At 40.5% G+C, this 22,686-nt stretch overlaps 1 protein-coding gene and 6 pseudogenes across 3 annotated transcripts in view; all 7 read right to left on the bottom strand.

The window, feature by feature from the left end:
- The window catches only part of AQP9 (aquaporin 9), a 47,743-nt gene that overhangs the window by 13,227 nt on the left and 11,830 nt on the right, over positions 1–22,686 (bottom strand). For all 3 annotated transcript variants that reach the window (NM_001320636.1, NM_020980.5, NM_001320635.2), the window contains exon 2: positions 5,886–6,012. In NM_001320636.1, the coding sequence (NP_001307565.1) occupies positions 5,886–5,928 (43 nt within the window). In that variant the 5' untranslated portion in view covers positions 5,929–6,012. The remainder of the gene's footprint in view (positions 1–5,885; positions 6,013–22,686) is intronic.
- On the bottom strand, positions 16,624–17,725 carry MTCYBP23 (MT-CYB pseudogene 23; annotated as a pseudogene).
- MTND6P23 (MT-ND6 pseudogene 23) lies at positions 17,799–18,268 on the bottom strand (annotated as a pseudogene).
- Positions 18,278–20,079, bottom strand: MTND5P32 (MT-ND5 pseudogene 32; annotated as a pseudogene).
- Positions 20,080–21,463, bottom strand: MTND4LP23 (MT-ND4L pseudogene 23; annotated as a pseudogene).
- MTND3P12 (MT-ND3 pseudogene 12) lies at positions 21,723–22,050 on the bottom strand (annotated as a pseudogene).
- On the bottom strand, positions 22,122–22,410 carry MTCO3P23 (MT-CO3 pseudogene 23; annotated as a pseudogene).

Below are 22,686 nucleotides of genomic sequence, written 5' to 3'. Positions count from 1 at the left end.
CAATATATGTATAAGATTTAAATCTATATCTAGCAGTTCCTCCGGCCATGCCCAGAGGATATAAAAACAAGCTCAAAAGAGATGTATCTTTAAAGGAAAATGACTGTGGGTTGCTGAGGGTGGGGGCATAGTTGATTTTGAGGTGGTCACAGTGTGAGTGGCTTGTTCTCAGTTCCTCTGCATAAACAATGCATTTCTCTCCTATACAGAAATGTAGCAACCCTTTCCTGAGCCCAGCCCAAGCTCCAGCTAGAGAAATCGGCTTCCTTGACTTGCATCCAGCCATAAAATCAAATAGAGAGTTTGCTCTGTGGTTGGTCTCTAACATCCCCAGCTGGCTTTGCTAGTAACAACAACAGCAGCATTTATCAAATACTTACCAGACACCATTGTAGGGTTAGTAGGTGGATTTGATCCTCTTAAGAACCCAATGAGATGAGTACTACTCCAGTTAACGGATGAGAAAACTGAGGCATGGACGGAAAGTAAGTTTCTTAAGGCTACATGGTCAGTAAATGGAAGAACCAGGATTCAGATTCAGGTTTATCTGAATTCTAGAGCCTGTGTTTTCTGCTATACCACTTCCAGCCCATCTTCACCGTGTTTATAAAGGCTTCTCTGCTTTTGTGGGCAGAAAAATAAATAAAGAATTTAAAAAAATTGTCTGAGCATATAGGCTCACTTCCTAGTGAAAACAGATGTTCATTTGAGGAATACAGATGACATTTTTTGTGGAGGGGGAATCAGAGACACCACATTGAGATGTGGACTTTCAGGCTGTGGCCTTGGTCGTAAACAAAGGAGGGATGATGGTGGTGATGATGATGATGATGATGATGATGATGATGATCCTGCACAGAACCAATAGGTGCACTTGTTTCCAGAAGCCTCTACCACTCCCTGTGGAGAAAGCTATGCTTTTTCCAAGTCTCCAGGGCAAAATGGACTTGCAGTGGGTGGGGGATTCTGGCTGCTGGCTAAGCCACAAGAGTCCTTTCTTCACCTGCCCCTGCCACTCAGTGGCTACAATGAGCAAGAAAATGCCAGTGTATTGAAGCACAGATGATTTCCTAAAGCCTTATAAACACTTCAACTGTTGTGTTTTCCTTTCAAATCCAGGAAAGCCACAGTTCTGGAGACTAGCAGTACACCTTACCAGGGAAGGCTAGAAACAGGGGTTAGGAGGGAGGAGGGGGCACACAGGGCAGTGGGAAGTTTCTCTTCTCCCAGAGGCTTGCTGCAGAGTAGCTGCCTCCAGCTGCCTGGAGGTAGCCATTGTGAAAGGAAAAGGGGTGCGGGGCCAGGTGCAGTGGCTCATGCCTGTAATCCCAGCACTTTGGGAGGCTGAGTTGGGTGGATCACAAGGTCAGGAGTTTGAGACCAGCCTGCCCAACATGGTGAAACGCCGTCTCTACTAAAAATAGAAAAAATTAGCTGGGCGTGGTGGCAGGCACCTGCATTCCCAGCTACTCGGGAGGCTGAGGCAGGCTAATTGCTTGAACCCAGGAGGCGGAGGTTGCAGTGAGCCGAGATGGTGCCACTGTACTCCAGCCTGGGCAACGAGCGAAACTCCGTCTCAAAAAAAAAAAAAAATTAGTTGGGCGTGGTGGCTCGCACCTGTGATCCTGGCTACTCAGGAGACTGAGGCAGGAGAATTGCTTGAACCCAGGAGGCAGAAGTTGCAGTGAGCAGAGATTGCGCCACTGCACTCCAGCCTGGGCGACAAAAACAAACAACAACAACAACAACAAAAAACCAAGGGGGCCGTAAGTGATCACCTCCAGTCCAACTCCCTTGAGTTTAGTCTACCAATGGGAGATTTCTTTGTTTAACAATTTCGTCTTCCAAAATAAAATTTCCCATAAGTAGGTTTCTGTTTGTTGGCTCCTCCTAAGCATCCTGAGGCTGGAACTATTATTTACCTTGGGTCTCACATGATGCAAGGCACTTAGTAGGTATTCAATATAAAAGCTGAAGAAATAGGCAGGGCATGGTGGCTCACGCTTGTAATCTCAGCACTTTGGGAGGCCAAGGCGAGTGGATCATGAGGTCAAGAAATCAAGATAATCCTGGCCAACATGGTGAAACCCTGTCTCTACTAAAAATACAAAAATTTGCTGGGCATAGTGGCATACGCCTGTAGTCCCAGCTACTTGGGAGGCTGAGGCAGGAGAATCGCTTGAACCTGGGAGGCGGAGGTTGCAATGATCTGAGATTATGCCACTGCACTCCAGCCTGGTGACAGAGCAAGACTCCATTAAAAAAAAAAAAGAAAGTTGAAGAAATAATCTGAGGCCTTATTTAGATAGCTCAGACTACAGTGATCTACAGAGAAAAATAGTTGTTTGGGGGTTAGAGAGGGTATGTCTGGAAGGGTGCTTTGCAAAGCAATGAGGAAAAGGGCTGGAGAGGAGGCAGAAAGGTTCAGAAAGAGAGGTGGACAAGTGGCACCCTGATGCCTCTGGTTAGAGGCCAAGTGGCTGCTAGAAATTTCTCCCCGCAGAGATGAGTGGTCACCCTGGCTTATCACAAGGACAAGGCAGAGCAGTGTATTGGAAAGAACATGAGAACTAGAGTCAGAGAGTCCTGCACTCAACTCTTGGCTTTGCCGAGGTTGCTGGGACAATCAGATTATTCACATAAAGGGCCCGCGGGCACAGCTGGATCCCACAGGGCACAAGATGAAAGTCTTAGGTGAGCAGAGGGAACCCCTTCAGTGTTCTGTTCTATGCAAATCCTCTCCTCCTCGCCACCCATACACAATCCTGTGATCAAGATAACCCTATATTTTGTAATGAAAGCAAGTCTATTTGCTTTTTCAATAAGTTTATTTTAGTCATAAAATACTACATCAATAGCAATTGCCATTAGACAGCCTAAATGCTTTGTGCAGGATGCTACATAATTAGGGTATTATGACCTCTGACTGACTGGATTTGACTGGAACATTCCCAGGGGAGCAGGATGCTGTAACTTCTTTACAATAAGGTGATGTTTTATATTTAAAAGACAAATATCTGCTGACCTCACTAGTCGGTGACCACAAAATAGGATCCCATTCACATTTATGCTCAGTATAAATTGGTTACTTTTGGAATCTTCAAGCAGACCTTACAAGCCAGTATGTGCCCACAAACCAGTATGTTAGCTGCAGCCACGATGAGAAAGTCACCTCCCACACACAATCTTCCCCTATTCCTGCACCTGCCAAAGCTGATACTGATGCTGTTGTCCACACAGATGTCATGATGGGCCAGTGTGTTGTGCTGCATGTTCCCAAAATGTTCCCAAAGCCACCAGTCCTTAGGGAGCCTGAACTGTGCTAGATTCCAAATAGAGATAGAAAGATAAGGACTGCCTTTCCAAGCCAGTGCTACTATTTTCCAGCCAGTCTCAGACACCACTCTGTTTGTATTTTAGGGTCTCATAGTTGCTTGTAAACATTTTGGTCAGGTCCTGACTCTCACCCAGAAACAGCTTCTACTGAAAGAAGTCCCATCAGTTTTGGCCCTTACTCTTGTAACTATAGGGATTCAACCCCAGTTTAGAGGCCACAGAAGACTTCACACCTTTTCTTCACTCCTTCTTCTTCCTGCTGGTTCTTTCCCTTTTTTCCTCCTACAGTGACTGCAGAAATCCCCAGGTATATCAATGGACAGAATCAGATATGGATTGCAGTGGTGAAGGGTGTTAACAGCAGTGGTAGGGTCTGGGGCCAATTAATTCTAAGTAACTATTGGATGATGTTCAGTTCAGGGTGTTATGCAGGCAAAATACTCCAAAACCATGTCTCTACCTAAAAAAAGGCTGAAAATATGGCTACACCTACATTACCTGGTGAACTCAGTGGGAGCTTATAGGGGGAGCAGTTAAGCCTCGGGATATTTAGGGCAGTCCCCTGGTTTTTCTTGTGCCCTTCTTGGAGTTTGCCTTGAGTTAAGCAGTAGAGTGCTGGGATCACAGCAAAAGCTGGACAAAAGTTTGAATGGAGACACTGTGCATGCTAACAAATCACATATATAGGAATCTGGGAGGTCAAGGTTGCAAAGTTCTGTGATCCCACCATCACAGTCCAGCCTGGGCAACAGAGTGGGACTCTGTCTTAACCTGGACGACCCTTGGATCTGAGTCTGGCTGTAATATGGAAAGGGTGCCAGCTGGTCAATGGCCATTCCGGATGCACAGCCCAAGGAGCTCCCAAGGAGTCTAAGCAATCGTTCTTCAGTGCTACAAAGGCAGTGTTTGCTAGGAGGCCAGCCAGCTTAACTGCAGGATCCTCTGCCCAACTAACCTGCTTGTAATGCCCTTCTCATAATAGAGCATTGTAAATGCTGTGTAAGAATGGGGATGTGTTGGCTGGGTGTGGTGGCTCATGCCTGTAATCCTAGCACTTTGGGAGGCTGAGGCAAGTGGATCACTTGAGTCCAGGAGTTCAAGACCAGCCTGGGCAACATGGCAAGACCCTGTCTCTACAAAAAAAATACAAAAATTAGCTGGGTGTGGTGGCTCGTACCTGTAGTCCTAGCTACTTGGAAGGCTGAGGTGGCAGAAGGTAGAATTGTTTGAGCCTGGGAAGTCAAGGCTGCAGTGAGCTGTGATCCTGCCACGACACTCCAGCCTGGGCAACAGAGTGAGACTCTGTCTTAAAAAACAAAAAACAGGCAGGGTGCGGTGGCTTACACTTGTAATCCCAGCACTTTGGGAGGCCAAGGCAGGTGGATCACCTGAAGTCAGGAGCTCGAGACCAGCCTGGCCAACATGGTGAAACCCCGTCTCTACTAAAAATACAAAATAATTAGCCAGGTGTGGCAGTGTGTGCCTGTAATCCCAGCTACTCAGGAGGCTGAGGCGGGAGAATCGCTTGAACCCAGGAGGTGTAGGTTGCAGTGAGCCAAGATCGTGCCATTGTGCTCCAGCCTGAGGGAGAAAAGCAAGACTCCTAAAAAAAAACAAAACCAAACAAAAAACAAACAAACAAAAAATGAGGATGTGAGCTTCACTGTCATGCAGATCATGTGAGCCTGGATCAAATCTCAGCTCTTCTTCTTTACCAGCTGCAGGGCTTCCACTTATTTACTGACTCCCTCTCAGGAGGGATTTCTTTGTAGAATGGAGACAGTAATACCCGCCTCAGAGTGCTGTTGTAAAGGAGAGGGAGATAAAGGCAGTCTGGCATTTAGCACAGTGCTCAGCATGCATGGTTTCTCAGTTCCCTTTCTTCTCTTCTCACCAAGTCTTGACTCAATGCTCTGAGGACCCACACCAGGCTGCTGAAAGATTCTGAGTGTCTTTGGTAACCAGATCATTTCCACAGTCGCTTCCTAAGTGCCCAGACTGCATTAAATTATCATTTCATTTTGCTTTTGAGAACCATGTGAATGGCTTCTAATCAGTTTACTTTTCAGAGCAGGATTAGACTAAGACCTTGTAGATCAGATCTGCACGTCCATGAAAGCACCATCCATTTTGCAAGAGACCCAGACTCTTCCTGTTTGCTATAGATAAAGGTCCAGGACTTGCCTCTGTTGGAGTGACCTTCACTGGGCTATTTACAGGGTATCTGGGAGTTGGATTCCAAATGTGGACTAGAGCAAGTAAAAAATCCCGTTGACTGGTGGAGAATAAGATGCAGCGGCCAGACTTAGGAATGAATAATTTATGAGCTCTAACCCCCATTTCTGTCTCTTGTTAAATGTTGCCTTTGCATAATAAGTTACTTACCATTGGTTGGTGATTTTAATTTTATCTATAAAAATGGGATCCAATACACACTCTTGCAGGATTTTTGAGATATAAGTAAATTAAGGTATGTGAAGCAGCCAGCACTGTGCGGGCACATTGGAGTGGCTGAATTAAGAGCAGCATTCATTATTTCTACTGCTTACCAGAGACACCGCCAGCCACATAAATGGCCATTGCAACTGCCATTGAAAATCCAACATTGATAGTGATGACCCCTCCAAAACGTCCTCGACTGAGAATAGCTTGGGCAACACAGCCACATCCAAGGACCTGGAATGAGAGGAAAACTCAACAGGTAAGTGGGGATGGCTACTGTCAAAAGTAATGGAAACTCACAGTAGCAAGTATTTTTAAAGCAAAGTCATGGATTGGGTTGCCTTGGGTTTTATACAAATCAAATTATAATGATTCAGCTATACACAGATAGCAAAATGGTGGACCCAAGGCTGCATTTGGCTTACAGATAGATGAGTTTTGCTGCACCTGCACAATGCTCAGATTTTGCCTACATTTATAAATCAGGACATTTCACACAATGATCTAGGTATCTGATTTTCTTTAAAATTAAATTTTTTATTTTGAGATAATTATAGACCCACATGTATTGTAAGAAATAATACAGAAAAGTCCCATGTACCTGTTACCCACTGGTTCCTTTTAATCAACCAAAAGATCTGGTTGTTCACAGGGAAATAATCGAGCACAGTAGCAGTTGGGGATCCCTTTAAACAGAGCTTATGCCTTCCCAACTGGCTCACTTCTCTACCCTTCACTCATTTAGGTCACCCTCCTGGCCTCTGTAGGTATTTGAGTTTGACAGTTCTGTTCTTGTGGCTCCCAGTATAAAAGCAGGACCAGGCACACAAACCACCATACACACATCCAATAAAGGGGAAAGGCCATTTGTACCATGCATTAGAAAAAATGTCTGATGTACAAGAAAACAAAGGAAAACCTTAGGGGGATAGATTTGGCAATCAGGACCCCCTTATTCTCATGTATTTTCTCCCTGATGGGGCTGTAGTTTCCTAGGGAGCAGAGGCTGCCAAACTCACTGCTTCTTGTATTCCCTCTGGCACCAAGCCCAGTGCTGTGCTGATAGTAAGCATTCTGCAAACAGTTGCACAGTGAAGTATGATAGTGAGTCTTCCACAATCTTCAGCTGGTAGAGGATATTTTGGAGAATGAAATCCATATTGAGAAAGGTTTGCAATAAATATATGATGGTACATCCAGTCAGTAGACTGCTAGTCTACTGAAAAAAATAGAAACAAACAAACAAAAAAATAGAATAAAGGAGATCCATGTATACCAAAGTGGAAAGACCCCCAAGGTATATTATTAAAATAAAAAAAGATGCAGAGCAGTGCTAAAACGTGCTGCCAATTGTAGTAAATACATTACATGCATTTCTTTTTATGTACATGATCTCTCTCCATGAATACACAAGCAGCAGAAATGGGGTTAGACCCTAATGGGTTGGGGGAGCACATGACTGGGACAGAGATTGGAAGAGAACTTTTCATTGTATATCCTCTCTTTTTTAAAACCCATCTGTTTTCTAATTTTTTTAAAAAAATGGGCCCCACATATTCATTGAATAATCAGTTAAAACCATTTAATCACAGTCCATTGAAGAAATACTTGGTGAAGGACGGTTCTTGGGAAAGACAGAACAATTTCATACAAGTTTGGTAGGAAAATGAGACAGCAAATGACCACCAGCTTTCACCATGCTGTAGTTTAAAAAGCTAGTGTGGCCCTGGAGGCATAAGTATAGGAATTATTAGATGATTAGATGGACTCCAGTTGGGGTTTTATAACTAAAAAAGAGCAATTAACTTGAGGGAGGGCTTGGCATTGAGCAATACATACTATTTAGGGGCAGGAAAAGAGAGCATATGAGGAAATATTTCAGAAACAAATATATTTTTGGAAAAAGAGATTAACAATGTGAAGGCTTTTTATCAGGAAGATAATAACCTACTATTGAGTCTTTTCATATAGAGCTGAAAATGGAAGAGTCTAAAACTAAAATATGAAAGGTTGCACAAAGACAATTTTTTTATTGTGATGAATTAATTCTAAACAGCTCCCTCAGGGCTCATTTGTGAGGTCCTTTAGAGGAGAATAAGTTACAAACAAGAGATATTTAATACACATAGAATGATTTCTCTGACAGCAGAGAAATTACGTAGATGATGCTTTCATGTCCCTTCTAGTCCCCAGTTCTAAGATACATCCACTTGTCTTAGCAAGCAGAGAAAAGGTGGAGAGCTTTGTACCCTACGCTGAATGTTAAATACAGTTACAGCAGGAACATGTCCCCTTTCTCTTTTCAAAAAAATCCCCTGAGTCCATTTTATAGCCTAACAATTTCACCTAGACTTGACATTATTTTTTCTAGAATCCTTATCTATTATAATAACTGTTGGAATTAAAACCACATTGGCATATTTCTTTCATTTTAATGTAAATCCAATTAAATGCTCTGGGCACAACTTCCAGGTGAACTGACATTTTAGTAGTATCTCCTAAAATGAGGAATAAAACAATACTGACAGCTGAAATGACTTGACTTAGACAACCAGGGCTAAGAAGAGACGCAAAAGAGAGAGGCCAGTCCTGAGCTATTAATGCTTTCTAAATAAGCGTCTCCCCTCTTTTATGGTCCTGATGTACATGCACTTGTTCCAGTCTAGAGGGCACATAAAAGCTTTAAATGGCTCAAGTGGGTCCGTGGAGGCTTCTGCCTTGTCAAATTTCACTATGATTAATACTCCCCTCTTCCACTCTAGATGCTGAAATGGCTTTTCTTAGGAGGATAATCAATGCTGTGTGCTGCAGGAAATAGGAGGAGTGATGAGCAATGTGGGGACTTCAGTTACCCTCATCAGAATCGCCACTCAGAAGATTGGAGCCCAGATTTCCAGCATTACATCTTAATTTAGAAATGTTTTATTGTAGCCTGAAAAGCAACGAGGAAGCCAGGTAACTGCCTCCTGGTTTGTTCCCTTGCCTGCCTCCTCTTGCCTGTATTCAGAGCACCGGGACAGCAGACCATTGGCATTCTAATATATCATGGGCTGCTTGCTGGAGATCTGGCCACCCACTCTGGTTCTCTCCTTCTGTGTGTTCAGTGTATTTTTTTTCCTCCAAAAATGAGAGAACTGTTTTTTATGGTATTGATGATACAAAGTTCCATCGTGATTCCCTGATCTCACCTTCAAGAACTGCCGTACCTTTCCCTTCTTAGACTCAAAAACAGCCCGTTATCATATCCACCCTATCTTGATTTTCCTGGTCTCCCTATCTAGAAAGCATTTTTAGGTCTGTCGTCCATTCAGATTCTTCTCAACAAACCTAATATTTCTCCCCTGAAGTTCAACTGTAGCGTTTGTACTCTACAATAAGTACTTATTTACCTTCCAAGTGCATAATCTTGATTTCATTATCTAGAAAACAATCTCTTGGGTTCCTTTCCATATTAACATTGTGGATGTTTAATGTATCATGGTCTGTAATATGTGAGTCTCTTTGATTTTATTCTGTCCCCTTGGGTGTTCTGCTTCTGAAGTCCACCACGCACTCCTCCTCTGCAGGCCTACAGACTTTTAAGATTTCTTCTACCTTCTTGACAGGACCTAGCACTTGCTCAATCTAGCTGCCTCCTCAAGAAGAATTAGAAAAGTCACAAAACCATATAGGAGATGGAGGGAATGACAAAACCATGGACACAATGAAGATCTAGCCTTCACTGTGTCCTTCACTGTGTCTTCAAAGTTCCTCATTAATCTTTTATTCATGTTCTCTCAATAGCTTCACCAAGCCTTCTCTTCTCTCATCGGCACAACCCACCCAACTGCCTTTCTGCACATAACACCACCTTCTAGTTGACTCAGCACCACCTATTAATGGATGTGAAGACCAATGGTAACTCTGAATATCACACAAACTTTGTATTTCAGTTATCCAGCACTGAAGAATTCACCACCCCCAAACTTAGTGGCTTTAAATGATAGCATTTATTTTGATTATGAATCAGCAATTTGGGCAGGGTTTGGGGTGGCACGTCATCCCTGCTCTACTTGGTATCAAATGGAGTGGCTCGAAAAGTGGAACACTGGAATTATCTGAAAGCTTGCATATTCATGCATCTCACGGTTGATGTTGACTGTCCTCTGATACCTTAGCTGGGGCTTACAAATGGCTTCTCCGTGGGGCCTGGCTTCTTTACAATATGGTTGCTGAGTTCCAAGACTGAGCATCATATAGGATCTAGAGACTGTGCTCTTAAACCCTGCACCATGCCATCTCTCAGTTATACCATTTTGCTGGTTCTGAACTTGACAGCACGCAGAAGGCATGTGATACAGGCATTCTCCCTACAACATCCTAAATAGGTGTTCACCTAACCCATAATGGATCACCTTTAAGGATAGGGAGCTCATTACCACATTAGGCAGCTTGTTCTGTATACTTTTCATTGTTCCTGTGGTTGGAGCATCCTTCCTTACATGAAGTTGGAGGCTTCCTTCCTGTAATTTCTGTTCATTAGCCACAGGCATACTGTTGGGACCAAGGAGAATAAGCCTTTCACATACCAGGCATTGCAATAAGTGGAGGGGCATAATGCCCTCCCGGGGTTCTCTCTTCGTTTGGACACTTGTCCCTTCATCTTTGATCTCTGCGTCTCCTCGGACTCCCAGTGAGTCTCACTTGGGTAAGCTCTACGTTGTCAGTGTCCCTCTTAAAACACAGAGCCCAGAAATGAACACAGTCTTCCCATATTTGTGTATCACATTATGACACGGTAATTAACCCTGTACCTTCTGACTCATGGCTTCTATTGCCATCTGGTGGGACACTTAGCCATGGAATGTTATTTAACTGTTTACATATTTATGCCTGATTTTCTCAATTTTATAAGAAGATTTTCAAGATAATATGTTGAACTTTTTTTTTCTCTGTAACAGCTTCTAGTATATTGGATGTAATTGAATAACAGATCCTAGACATTATTTCCAGGGATGACACTTGTTGGCAATGTAAATGAACATATTATTTCTCATTCTCAGCTTGCTCATATATTAAAGGGGAATAATGATATGTGCCAGATTTGAATCATATGGCTTTTTGATAAAGAATCAAATGAGATAACATTAATGAAGGCAATATTTAAACAACAAAGAGAAATAATAAGGGTAGGATATTATTGTTTTTAGTATAAACTCAAAAATTCCAGTTCAGGGTGAATAGGTTAAGAAAACAGACCCATGGACTTAACTGCTAACTTGCTGCCTGGCAATAAAAACAGAGGAGAAAAGACATCTATAACAAATACATCTAGTTGAAATACTTGCTGTTTCATTGCTAGTCATGGGGTTTAATTTTGGTGAGAGAGGGAAAGCGGGAAGCTGATAAGATCTTCAAGTTGTTTTGACTATTTATGATTACTCTCTGAAGATGGGCCATTTCATAATTGGCAGGATTTTAGTGCTTTTTGTAGGAAAGCAATGCTAGAAAATAGAAAGATAAATGCTTTTTTTACTATCAGGTTCCATACATGGAAGAAGGAAAAGACTTTCATTGGAAAAGGAAGAAAGACATTTGAAAGGCAGAATTCCTACAAAACTTTAATTGGTGGGAACTCCTCCAGTCATTCCCGATTACCCAGAGCAAACATTCTGGAATTATTAATACCTGTTATTCCTTCCCCTTCTCTCCCTTGGCCACCCATAGTCTGTCATTCCCATATCTTGCAGAGCCTTCATCTGCAGCCTCCAATCAGTGTCCCCACCTCCAGTCTCTCCCCATCCAGAGACCATGCCAGATGAAGCACCACACACCACCTCCCCATTGCTCAGGAAATGTCAGCCCAGAGTCCTCAAGCTGGTCCTCAGGGCTCTCCATTGCCTTACCTCATGATTCCCAGCCACCTTCCTTTCCAGTATTCTTTAGCACAGATCTTCTGCATCAGCCATGCTGACATCCTAGTCACTTGGAGCCCTTTGAGCTGATGACACTTATTTTCATCCCTGCACATCTGCTATGCTGCACCTTTCAGAAGAAACACCCTTTCCTTGCACCTTCCCCAACTAAACCCAATCTATTCTTAATGATGAGCTGAAATCCTGCTTTCTCTATAGGACTTTCTCTGACAACAAAAGCCCTCATTGGCTTTCTGTGCCTACTCTATCACGTCTGCACATTGCCATTTTATTATATACCTGCAACCTTGTCTTGTGGCACCGACCCCCCACCCCCAAAAACTATAATGTCCACCAGGGAAGTACATTTTTTTTCAGGTTAATTGGAGGAAAACCATACAAATTTATTTAACATGTATACATGGGGAGAACCACAGAGTGATTACCCTAATTCTTTATATTCCATGCTTAAATAATAATATTTGATGAAAGATATTAAAATATCTAAACTTAAGCAAGGGCACAAAAGAAACCCCATTTCTCTGCCTTCAAGAAAAAGCAGGAAAAGATAAAAAATTTAGTTTGGCCTATCCATCTGATAAGGGATTGATAACCATAATATATAAGGAGCTCAAACAACTCAATAGCAAACAAACAAACAAAATCCAAATAATCTGATTTTAAAGCGGGCAAAAGATCTGAGTAGTCATTTCTCAGAAGACAGAAAGTGGCCAACAGGCATATGAAAAAAAAAAATGCTCAAGCATCATTAACTATCAGAGAAATGCGAATCAAAACCACAATGAGATAGCGTCTCACCCCAGTTAAAACAGCTTTTATCAAAAAGGGAATAATGGATGTGGAGAAAGAGGAACATTTATACGCTGTTGTTAGGAATGTAAACTAATATAGCCACTATGGAAAATAGTGTGGAGGTTCCTAAGAAAACTAAAAACAGGACTGCCATACGATTCAGCAGTTTCAATACTGGGCATGTATCCAAAAGAAATAAAATCAATATGTTGAAGAGCTGTCTGCACTCTCATGTTTACTGCAGCACTATTCACAATAGCCAAAATATGGAATCAACCTAAATGCCCACAAACCAGATTAATGGATAAAGAAAATGTGGCATATATACGCAATGAAACATTATTCAACCATAAAGAAGAATGAAATCCTGTCATTTGTAGCAATGTGAATGGAACTGGAGGTCATTATGTTAAGTGAAATAAGCCAGGCATAGAAAGACAGACATCAAATGTTCTCACTTTTATGTGAGAGCTAAAAAAGTGGATCTCATGAAGGCAGAGAGTAGATGGGTAGTTACTAGAGGTCAAGAAAGGGCGGAGGAAAGAAGAAAGGTTGATTAATAGGTAAAAATATACAGTTTGATAGAAGAAATAAGACCTAGTGCTTGAAAGATCAGTAACATGACTATAGTTAACAATAATGTATTGTATATTTCAAAGTCACCAGAAGAAAATAATTTGAATATTCCTAGCAGAATGAAAAGACAAATATTTAAGGCAATGGATCACCCAATCACACTGATTTGATTTTTATACATTATATGAATGTGTTAAAATGTCCCATGTACCCCCAAAATATGTACATCTGTTATGTATGAATAAAAAAAGAAGCGCAGGAAGCAAAACTACCCTGAATAATCCTCCTTTAAACAATGTGGAAATGATAAATAGACGGGAATCTTACTAAAAAAAAAACCCAACTTAATTTGGGGGTAGGATATGAAATGTGAAAAGTGGGAGGTATAATTTCTAAGAAATACCAAGTGGGACTGCTGGGCAGTTCTCAACTGAGCCATGACCCCTGTGACAAGCTGTTTATTGGACACAATGTAAAACCCGACATGGTGAAGTGATTATCACAAGCTGAAATGCCGGGAACGGAGAGAGGGAATAATCAGCCCACAGGTTTTATTGCACGTAACCCTGCTCAAATCTCTTTTATATTTATTATGTCCTTTAAAGTGTAAAACAAGATAGTCCTAGCAGAATATGTGGTGCATAACAGACACTCAATAAATATTTGTTCGGTGAGTATGTAAGAACTGAGCCCTTTCAGAAAAGCAGTAGTTAATGAAGTTTAGGAATTCCGTAGTGAAGTGTTTGTGAATGCAGGCAACCTGGGGCCAGGGACCACCAGGGAACCTTAGAATTACCGCAAGAGGTCTGTGATTCCTTGTGTGCATCAAACATTGTCCAAAAATGGAAAAAATAACATGTCTTCTATCTACCTTTTGTGATCTTGTATTTTCAGAATTAATGAATACTAAAAGAATGTTGTAGTGTATAGAGTTCTTGAAAATTTTTAAAGTTAAAAGGATCTCCTTGGGAAAGATTGTCATGCGCTTTGGAATAAATACTGTACAAAAAATTTACCATCTTGACTCATCTGTTTAGGGTAGTGTGAATAAAGGAATACCAGCTACCCTCTATTTAGTTCATTCTTTGTGCCAGGTTGCATGCTAAGTGCTTTACTTGTATTCCCTTATCACTATCCCATTATTAACTTAACAGTTATAACATTCTGGGAGGTAAGTAGTATTATCTCCATCTCATGGATGAGCAAATTGAGGCTGAGAAAGATCAAAGCAAATTGCCTAATTTTACATCACTGTAAGGAGAGAGAACCAGGATTTGATCACAGGTCTGTTTTAGTCAGAGGCCCGAACTTTTAGCCGTCACACACTGGATGGAACAAGAGGTCATCAGATGCAACCAATGCCCCCAAGAATCCATGGAAATCTTCAGGGAGGATACTAGGTTTTCCATAGGATGTGGAATAGGGGCATCGGTTTTTCTATCTGCATGTTGAAAAGCAAAGGGCTGTCTGGGAAGGTGAGGACTTGAAGACCCCAGGTAGCAGCCATCTGTTCCCAATCTATCCAGTATAAATGGCCTCATTTGTAAACCAGATGTGTCAGTCCAAAGAGAAAGGGCTGAGGATGAAGCTATTTGTCTCCTTATAGTTCCTGGTCTTTACCAGGACAAGTGCTTTTCTGGTAACAATAAGTATGGTCACCCTAGTTCAGAAAATATACAACACTTGTGCCTTGTCATCAAAGCTTCTCAGGGACCTAGAAATGAAAATCCTTTTCAGCTCCAATTTCCCTTCCTTTCTCAGAGATGACTGAGATATTTTGGTGATTATCTCCAGCTTTTTCAATTTATGCAAAATCGATTTTCTGCTCACTTGATTTCTAGCTCCCCTTGCACAGACAACTTCCGTTAGATGATCAAGCACCCACCGGTAGAAAACTAGAGTGAAAGGTAGAGTTAAACCCTTTCCTCTCTTGTTCTCTCTCACACACTCCTCTCCTCATAGTGTCTTCCAATTTTGTGGTTATCAATGCACACTCCCCGCTAACGCTGATTAAACATGCCTAACACTGGAAGTGAGTATGGGCCTAGAAGGGGCCTTTTCCACACGGATGAGCCACACCCAACAGCCACATGGGTTTCTGTGGCACTGGTCAGCATTTGGGGGCACTAACCAGGGAGTTGAACAGTTCCCCCAACTCCCACCTGCCCCCTTTATTACATTTTATTTAGCTAAAGTCAAAAAAGTAAGCCAGGTGGACATTCTAAAATGCCCCAATACCTCCAAGTCTCACCCAGATGGTATGTATTCATTATTGTTCTTTCAAAGACTTTTCTGGGAAGCAAATCCAGTGGTGCCAGTTCAGAGCACATTTGCTCCGTACTATGTGGACAGCAGCAACATGACCCAAGAACATGAGTTCTGTGTGACTGCTTTACCTTGTACCCTGCTGCAGGTCTTCTTGGATATAGGAAAGGAACACATTTAAATTATTAATCAAAAATATCCTCAAGTAGATATTTTGTCATTAAATGATGCAAATATTTATAAAAACAGAAGTAAGCATTAAAAGAGCATCTGTGGCAACACATTTTAAATCAACAGATCTGTGTGTATATATGCACATATATATGTGTGTTTGTACACACGTATATATGTGATATGTATATTCTCATTTAATCCCCTTTAGGAGGAGGAAAGTGCTCCTGTTTCCATCTAAGGAAACCTTTGGACAAAGAAATTAAGTAATTTTCCTGAGGACATATGTAGGGTAAGCGCACCTGATAGCAATAACTTAAGCCTACCCTTAGCCAGATCCTGTATGGCAGACGCACCTGAATGTTCTGAGCTAGGGAATCTGGAAGTGGCCAACCTAGAGATTTGTTCCCTGTCTATGATAAACATCTGAACCCTGGCCAGTTCCATGCAACATGGGCTGTACAGGGGAATGAGGCCCTGAGTTTTGAGTTAAATGAAGGTTGCCAGGTGAAAGTCATTAAGAGGAGGGTGTTAAGTGAAAATGCTATATAAACTGCATGCTATTTACAGGGGATTGCAGTTTTCCTGCCCAGTCTGTGGTTACTGGGCTGCGAGGTTATGTCCATGTTGACAAGGAGTTTCTTGACTGAAATGCGCTATGTTCGATGAATGATTTAATGTACTATGTAATGTTAAGGATTTTTAGTATGGGTTGATATTCGTGTTGGCTTAGTTTGAGTTGTACAGTTGATACGGTGAATGTGTTATAGTTGATTGGGGGATTGTTAATACGTGGTTATATGTATGCAGATTATATTCTTGATGTACTTTAATGTATTAATGTACTATATATGATTAAACAATTATAGTGCAATATATTATTCATGGGATTAACAGTAATGCATGAAGTATATAAAAGCACTAATGTATTAGTATTAGTTCGTTAATACTGACATAGCAGTTAAAGTGTGTGCTGAAAAACGTACAAGGAGTAGTTTAATTAGAATTTCAGCTTGGGTGTTGACAGTGAAGCAGAAGTGCTTTTTCCCTGAGTTGTCCTGGAGAGGGAATTCCCCATTTCTGGTTTACAAGACCGGAGCATTGAGTTATACTACAAGGGCAGTTTCATTTGAGTAATTTGTTTTCAATTAGGGCGGTAATTGGTGTAAGGTGAAGATAGTTGAGAAGTGCATAATGGATGCTGTTTGTCTGATGATAATAAAAGGGTAGCTGATTGGCTGCCCTCCGATTCATATGAGTGTGAGACTAGTGGACGGAATACTATGCTTTGCTGTTTAGACATGTGAGGTATAGAAATAACTGCTAGAATAAGAATGGAAGATATAAGGGCCAGTACACCTCCTAGTTTATTAGGGATGGATCATAAGATTGCATATGCAAATAAAAAGTATTACTCTGGTTTAATGTGGGGCGAGGTATTGAGGGGGTTGGCTAAAGTGTAATTATCTGGGTAGCTCAGGAGATCAGGTGAAAATAGTACTAGAATTATTAGGAAGAGGAGGAGGAGAATTAGGCCTAGAATATCTTTGATTGTGTAGTAAGCGTGGAAAGTGATTTTGTCAGGGTCTGATGAGATCCCTGAAGGGTTATTAGATCCTGTTTCATGTAAGAACAAAAGGTGAAAAGTCTCTAAAGCTGCAATGATGAAAGGTAAGATAAAATGGAAGGCAAAAAATCGTGTAAGGGTGGCTTTGTCTACTGAAAATCCACCTCAGATTCATTGCACAAGGTCAGTTCCAATATACGGAATGGCTGATAGCAGGTTTGTAGAATAGGTGTGTAAAAACTCAGAAGATTTGGCCTCATGGGAGTACGTAACCTATAAATGCTATTGCTATGGTCGTGAGTAGCAGGATAATACCAATATTTCAGGTTTCTAGAAATATAAATGAACCATAGTATAAGCTTTGGCCAATGTGTAGGAAGAGGCAGGTGAAAAATACTGAAGCGCCGTTAGCACGAAGATAACGAATTATTCAGCCGTAGTTTACATCTCGGCTGATATTGGTGATTGAAGAGAAGGCAGTTAAGGGATCTGATGTGTAGTGTATGGCCAGAAATAATCTGGTAGTGATTTGGAGAATTAAGCAGGCACAAATAAGTGAGCCAAAGTTTCATCATGTAGAAATGTTGGATGGTGTGGGAAGATCAATGAATGAATGACTAATAATTTTTATTAGCAGGTGCGTTGTGCATATTTTGGTCATTAGTGTTCTTATAGTTGAAATACAATGATGGTTTTTCATACCATTAGTCATGGTTATAGTCCATGTAGGAATAATGGCTTATGATTTATTATTAAGTATTCTTTTAGTTATAGGGTTTGCAGGTTTTTCTTCGAAACTGTCTCCTATTTATGGGGAGGGGATAGGGTTAATTATTAGTGGTGCTGTGGGTTGTGGTATTCTGTTGAATTTTGGTGGGACTTTCGTGGGGTTAATAGTCTTTAATTTATTTGGGTGGTATAATGGTTGTTTGAGGAGTATCCTGAAACATGAGGGTCAAGTATTGACATTTGAGGGGCTTTATTATTAGGATTATTAACAGAGTTGGTGTTAATTTGGTGAATGAGTATGATGGGATGGTCATTATAATTAATTTTAATAGCATATGGAGTTGCATAATATTTGAGGGTGAGGGGGCGAGGTGGTTGCGTGAGGATTCTGTCGGTGCAGCTTCTTTATACAGTTACGGGTATTGGTGGCAGTTGCTGGTTGAACGTTATTTGTCAGTATTTATGTTGCACTTGAAGTTACTCAGGGTGATGATTAGGTAATTAAGATTAGAGTTAGAAGAGGTAAAATAAAAAAGGAGAGGAAATAGAGTTTCATTAGGCCTTTTGGGGCAGGTATGGTAATGGAGGCTGATTATATGAGTTTGTGAAATGGTTTTTGGTATGGACTTTCCTAATCAAATTATGTCTAGTAGAAGTGAGGCCAGATTTTGGCTTGTAAATAGACTTGAGTTGGGGGAGCTGTACAGTGGATGGTGGCTGAGTAAAAACCTAGTATATTGGAGAATTTAAAAGTCTGTAATTGATACTTTAGCTTAAGGTTATTAGTTATAAAATTTAGTTCTATTGCTAGTAAGAGGCCTAAGGTGGTCACACCTAGGGCTGTGAGTTTTAGGCGAAGTGGCATAGTTGTTTAGGGGGATGAAGTGGGAACAATATTATTGGTAATGAGGAATCCAGCGAAGATACTGCCGATTATTAGGTGCTTAATTGGGTTAATTAGGAAAGGGTTATTTCTGTTAATAATAATCAGTTGTGAAGCGAGGTTGTCCTATCAGAGCGAAGAAAATAATTTGGGTACTATAGACAGCTGTTAGGGAGGTTGCGATAAGAGTAATAGAAAGGGCTCAGGCGTTGGTGTATGATGTGTTTGCAGTTTCAATAATGAGGTCTTTAGAATAAAAGCCTGTGAGGAAAGGCATACCTGTAAGTGTGAGGCTGCCAATGATAAGGGAGGAGGAAGTGAGGAGTAGAGTCTTGAATAGTCCTCCTATTTTTCAGATGTCTTGTTCATCACTGAGATTATGGATGATGGATCCTGAACATATATAGCTTTTAAAAAGGCATGGGTGCAGATATAAAGAAATGCTAGGTGTGATTAATACCAATTGTGACTATTATAAGGCCTAGTTGGCTTGAGGTGGAGAATGCTACGATTTTTTTTTTGATGTCATTTTGTGTTAGAGCACAAATTGCTGTTAATAATGTGGTGATGCCCCTACACATAATGTAAAGGTTTGGATTCATAGATTATTTTCTATTAAAGGGTAGAAGCAGATAAGTAGAAAAACTGTACAACTATAGTGCTAGAGTGGAGTAGGGCTGAAACTGGGGTTGGGCCTTCTACAGTGGAAGGAAGTCAGGGATGAAGGCCAAATTGAGCTGACTTTCCTGCTGCTGCCAGGAGAACAGTAATTAGTGGAAAGGAATTGGGGGTAAGATTTAGAATAAATATTTGTTGACGCTCTCATGTGTTGGAAAATAAGAGGAATCATGCTATAGCTAAAATAAAGCCAATATCGCCAATCGTTTATACAGGACCATTTGGAGGGCTGCTGTATTAGCATCTGCTCGGCCATATCATCAGCCAATTAGTAAAAAAGACACAATTCCCACACCTTCTCATCCAATAAAAAGTTGGAAGAGATTATTGGTGGTAACTAGAATTAATATTATCGTGAGGAAAATGAGTAAATATTTGAAAAATTGATTAGTATTAGGGTCTGAGTTTATATATCATATTGAGAACTCTACAATAGATCAGGTAACAAATAGTGCCACTGGGATAAATATTGTGGAAAAGTAGTCTAGTTTGAAGCTTAGTGGGAGTTGAAGAGTTTGAATTGTTACTGTCAGTTTGAGATAATTATTTCTTGATCTATGAATATGTATATTGTTACAGGGATGAGGCTAGTAATAAAGACACATGCAATAGATATTTTTACGTAGTATGGGTATCAATCTTTTTTGCAGGGGTTGGCTAAGGTAGTAATAATTGGTAAGATTAAGGGAACTAGTGTTTTTATAATAGTGGTATAATAAGAGCATGAGTTAGCAGTTCTTGCATACTTTCTCAGTAGATAAGAAGTTTCAGACTTCTGTTATTAGATCCACAATCTAATGTTTTGGTTATACTATATTTACAGTATGCAAACCCCATAATAATCTTAGGGTTTAAGGATAATAGAAAGATAGGTGCAAGGTATATAAGTATTAATGTATTTTCTTGTGTAAATGAGCATTTAATACTGTTAATGTAATACACAAGTGTCCCTCATTGTGTTGTGATTAGTATATGTAGGGAGTAAAGATCTGTAATTAGTATATTAAGTCTTATAAGCATAATGGTGATGTTTGATCAAGAGAATAAAGCCATAGTGATGAAGAGTTCTATTAAATTAATAGTAGGGGGAAAGGCAAGGTTAGTAAGACTTGCTAAAAGTCATCAAGAGGCTATTAGTGGAAGCAGTGTTTGAAGGCCTCAGATAAGTAATATAATTCGGCTATGGACTCGCTCGTAGTTTGAATTTGCTATGCAGAATAGTAAAGATGAAGTGACTCCATGGGCAATTATAAGGGTGACTGCACCTGTAAAGCTTCAAGGGGTTCAAATGAGAATAGCCATAATAACAAGTGCTATATGGCTTATGGAGGAATATGCAATAGTGATTTTAAGTCCGTTTGTCATAGACAAATAGAGCTTGTCATAACTATTTCCCATAAGGATATGAGGAAGGGGTAGGCTATATATTCTGTTAGGGGGTTGAGGGTAAGGGTAAGCCGTATAATACCATAGCCACCTAGCTTTAGGAGTACCTCTGCAAGTACTATTGAGCCAGCAATAGGGGCTTCCACGTGGGCTTTGGGGAGTCATAGGTGAAGTCCATATAGAGGTATTTTTGCTATGAGAGTCATAATACATGCTAGTCATATAAGATTATTAGATCAGGAAGTTAATAGTTCTTGGGTGGTAAATATTATTATTATTATTATGTTTAGTGAACCCAAGGTATTTTGAGTATGGGTAAGTGTGATAAGTAGGGGAAGAGAACTATTACAGAGTTTTTTCTGTGGGGGTGACTCATTGGAAAGGTGATGTTGGCTTGCTAGAATTACAAGAGGTAATAGGTTGTTAAGATTAGAAGGGGTGATGTTAGTGGGTCAGAGGAGAAAGTTAGTGAGAAGTTAGATGAATTATCATTTAATTGGGTAAGATATAGTAATGAGGCTGATGAATAGGTTGTGGATAGTTATGTTAATTCAGATTATGGAGTTATTACAGAGTCATGTTGGTGGTAACAGTATAATTGTTGGAATAATAACTTTTAGCATTGAAGTAAATTTAGATTTTGTACATAATCTAGGCTGTATGTGTTGGAGATTGAAACTAGTAAGGCAAGGCATACTGCGGCTTCGCAGGCCACAAATAATAGGAGGCTAATGGGATTAGGGATGCTAGAGTGAAATGTATATTTAAAGTTATAAGAATAATTATAATGAGTATTGATAATACTATACCTTCTAGGCATAATAGGGATGATGTTAAGTGGGATTGATAGACTAATATTCCCAGCAATGCTATGGTGTATGTTAATATAATATTGATATAAATAAAGGGCATTTGGTAAATATAGTCTATCATAATCTAATGAGTCGAAATCATTTATTTTAACTTAAACTATCTACCAATTCAATTCAGTCTAATCCTTTTTGGGTTCATTCATAAGTCAAGCCTAGGATTAAAATGATAATTAGTATAAGGGCTGTGCTGATTATTAGTGTCAGGTTGTTTGTTTGAAGGGCTCATGGCAGGGGCAGTAGTAGAGCAATTTCTAAGTTGAACAGGAGAAATGTGGTGACCACTAGGAAGAATTTTCTAGAGAAAGGAAGGTGGCCAGAGGTTAATGAGTCAAATCCGCATTCATAAGGGCTGGATTTTTCTATATAAATATTAAGTTATGGGAGTCAAAATGTAATTGCTAGTAAGGTGTCGGTCACTAGGGCTAGTGTAAAGCTAATTACTCTTTTTCAAATATTATCAAAGCTTATTGATTGGAAGTCAATGGTATTGCTTATACTAAAAGAGTAGGATCCTCATCAGTAGATAGAGACATATAAGAATAGTCTTACTATATCTATGAAGTGTCAATATCAGGCAGCGGCTTCAAAGCCAAAGTGGTGGTTAGATGTAAAGTGAAATTTTAGTTGGCAGAGGAGGCAGATAGTGAGAAATGTTGACCGAATAATGATGTGAAGTCCATGAAAGCCTGTGGCTATAAAGAATGTTGAGCCATAAATTCCATCAGAGATAGTAAAAGGGGCCTTGGAATATTCTGAAACTTGTAGGAGGGTGAAGTATATGCCTAAGGTAATTGCGATGGCGACTACCTTCCATCAGGCTGTGGTGAGCTCAAGTAATTGAAACTCCTGATGCAAGAATGGGGTAAGGCCACAGTGGAGTGGGTCTGAATGGCAAATGCCCCTCTGAGACAGGGCATACGCTATCCATTTCCCTGCAACTCCACCATGCCCACATCACTCATATGTGTTGCCTGTTCGGTCTCACTTACCTTTGGAGCTGTTGACTCCTGTCTTAAGGTCTGGGAAGAGGAAACCATTAAGCTTTTGGTGCCAGTGATTTCCTGGCCTTGCAGA

This window comes from Homo sapiens, chromosome 15 (assembly GCF_000001405.40).
Source record: "Homo sapiens chromosome 15, GRCh38.p14 Primary Assembly".
Taxonomy (NCBI): domain Eukaryota; kingdom Metazoa; phylum Chordata; class Mammalia; order Primates; family Hominidae; genus Homo; species Homo sapiens.
This window is presented reverse-complemented; position numbering and strand designations above follow the sequence as displayed.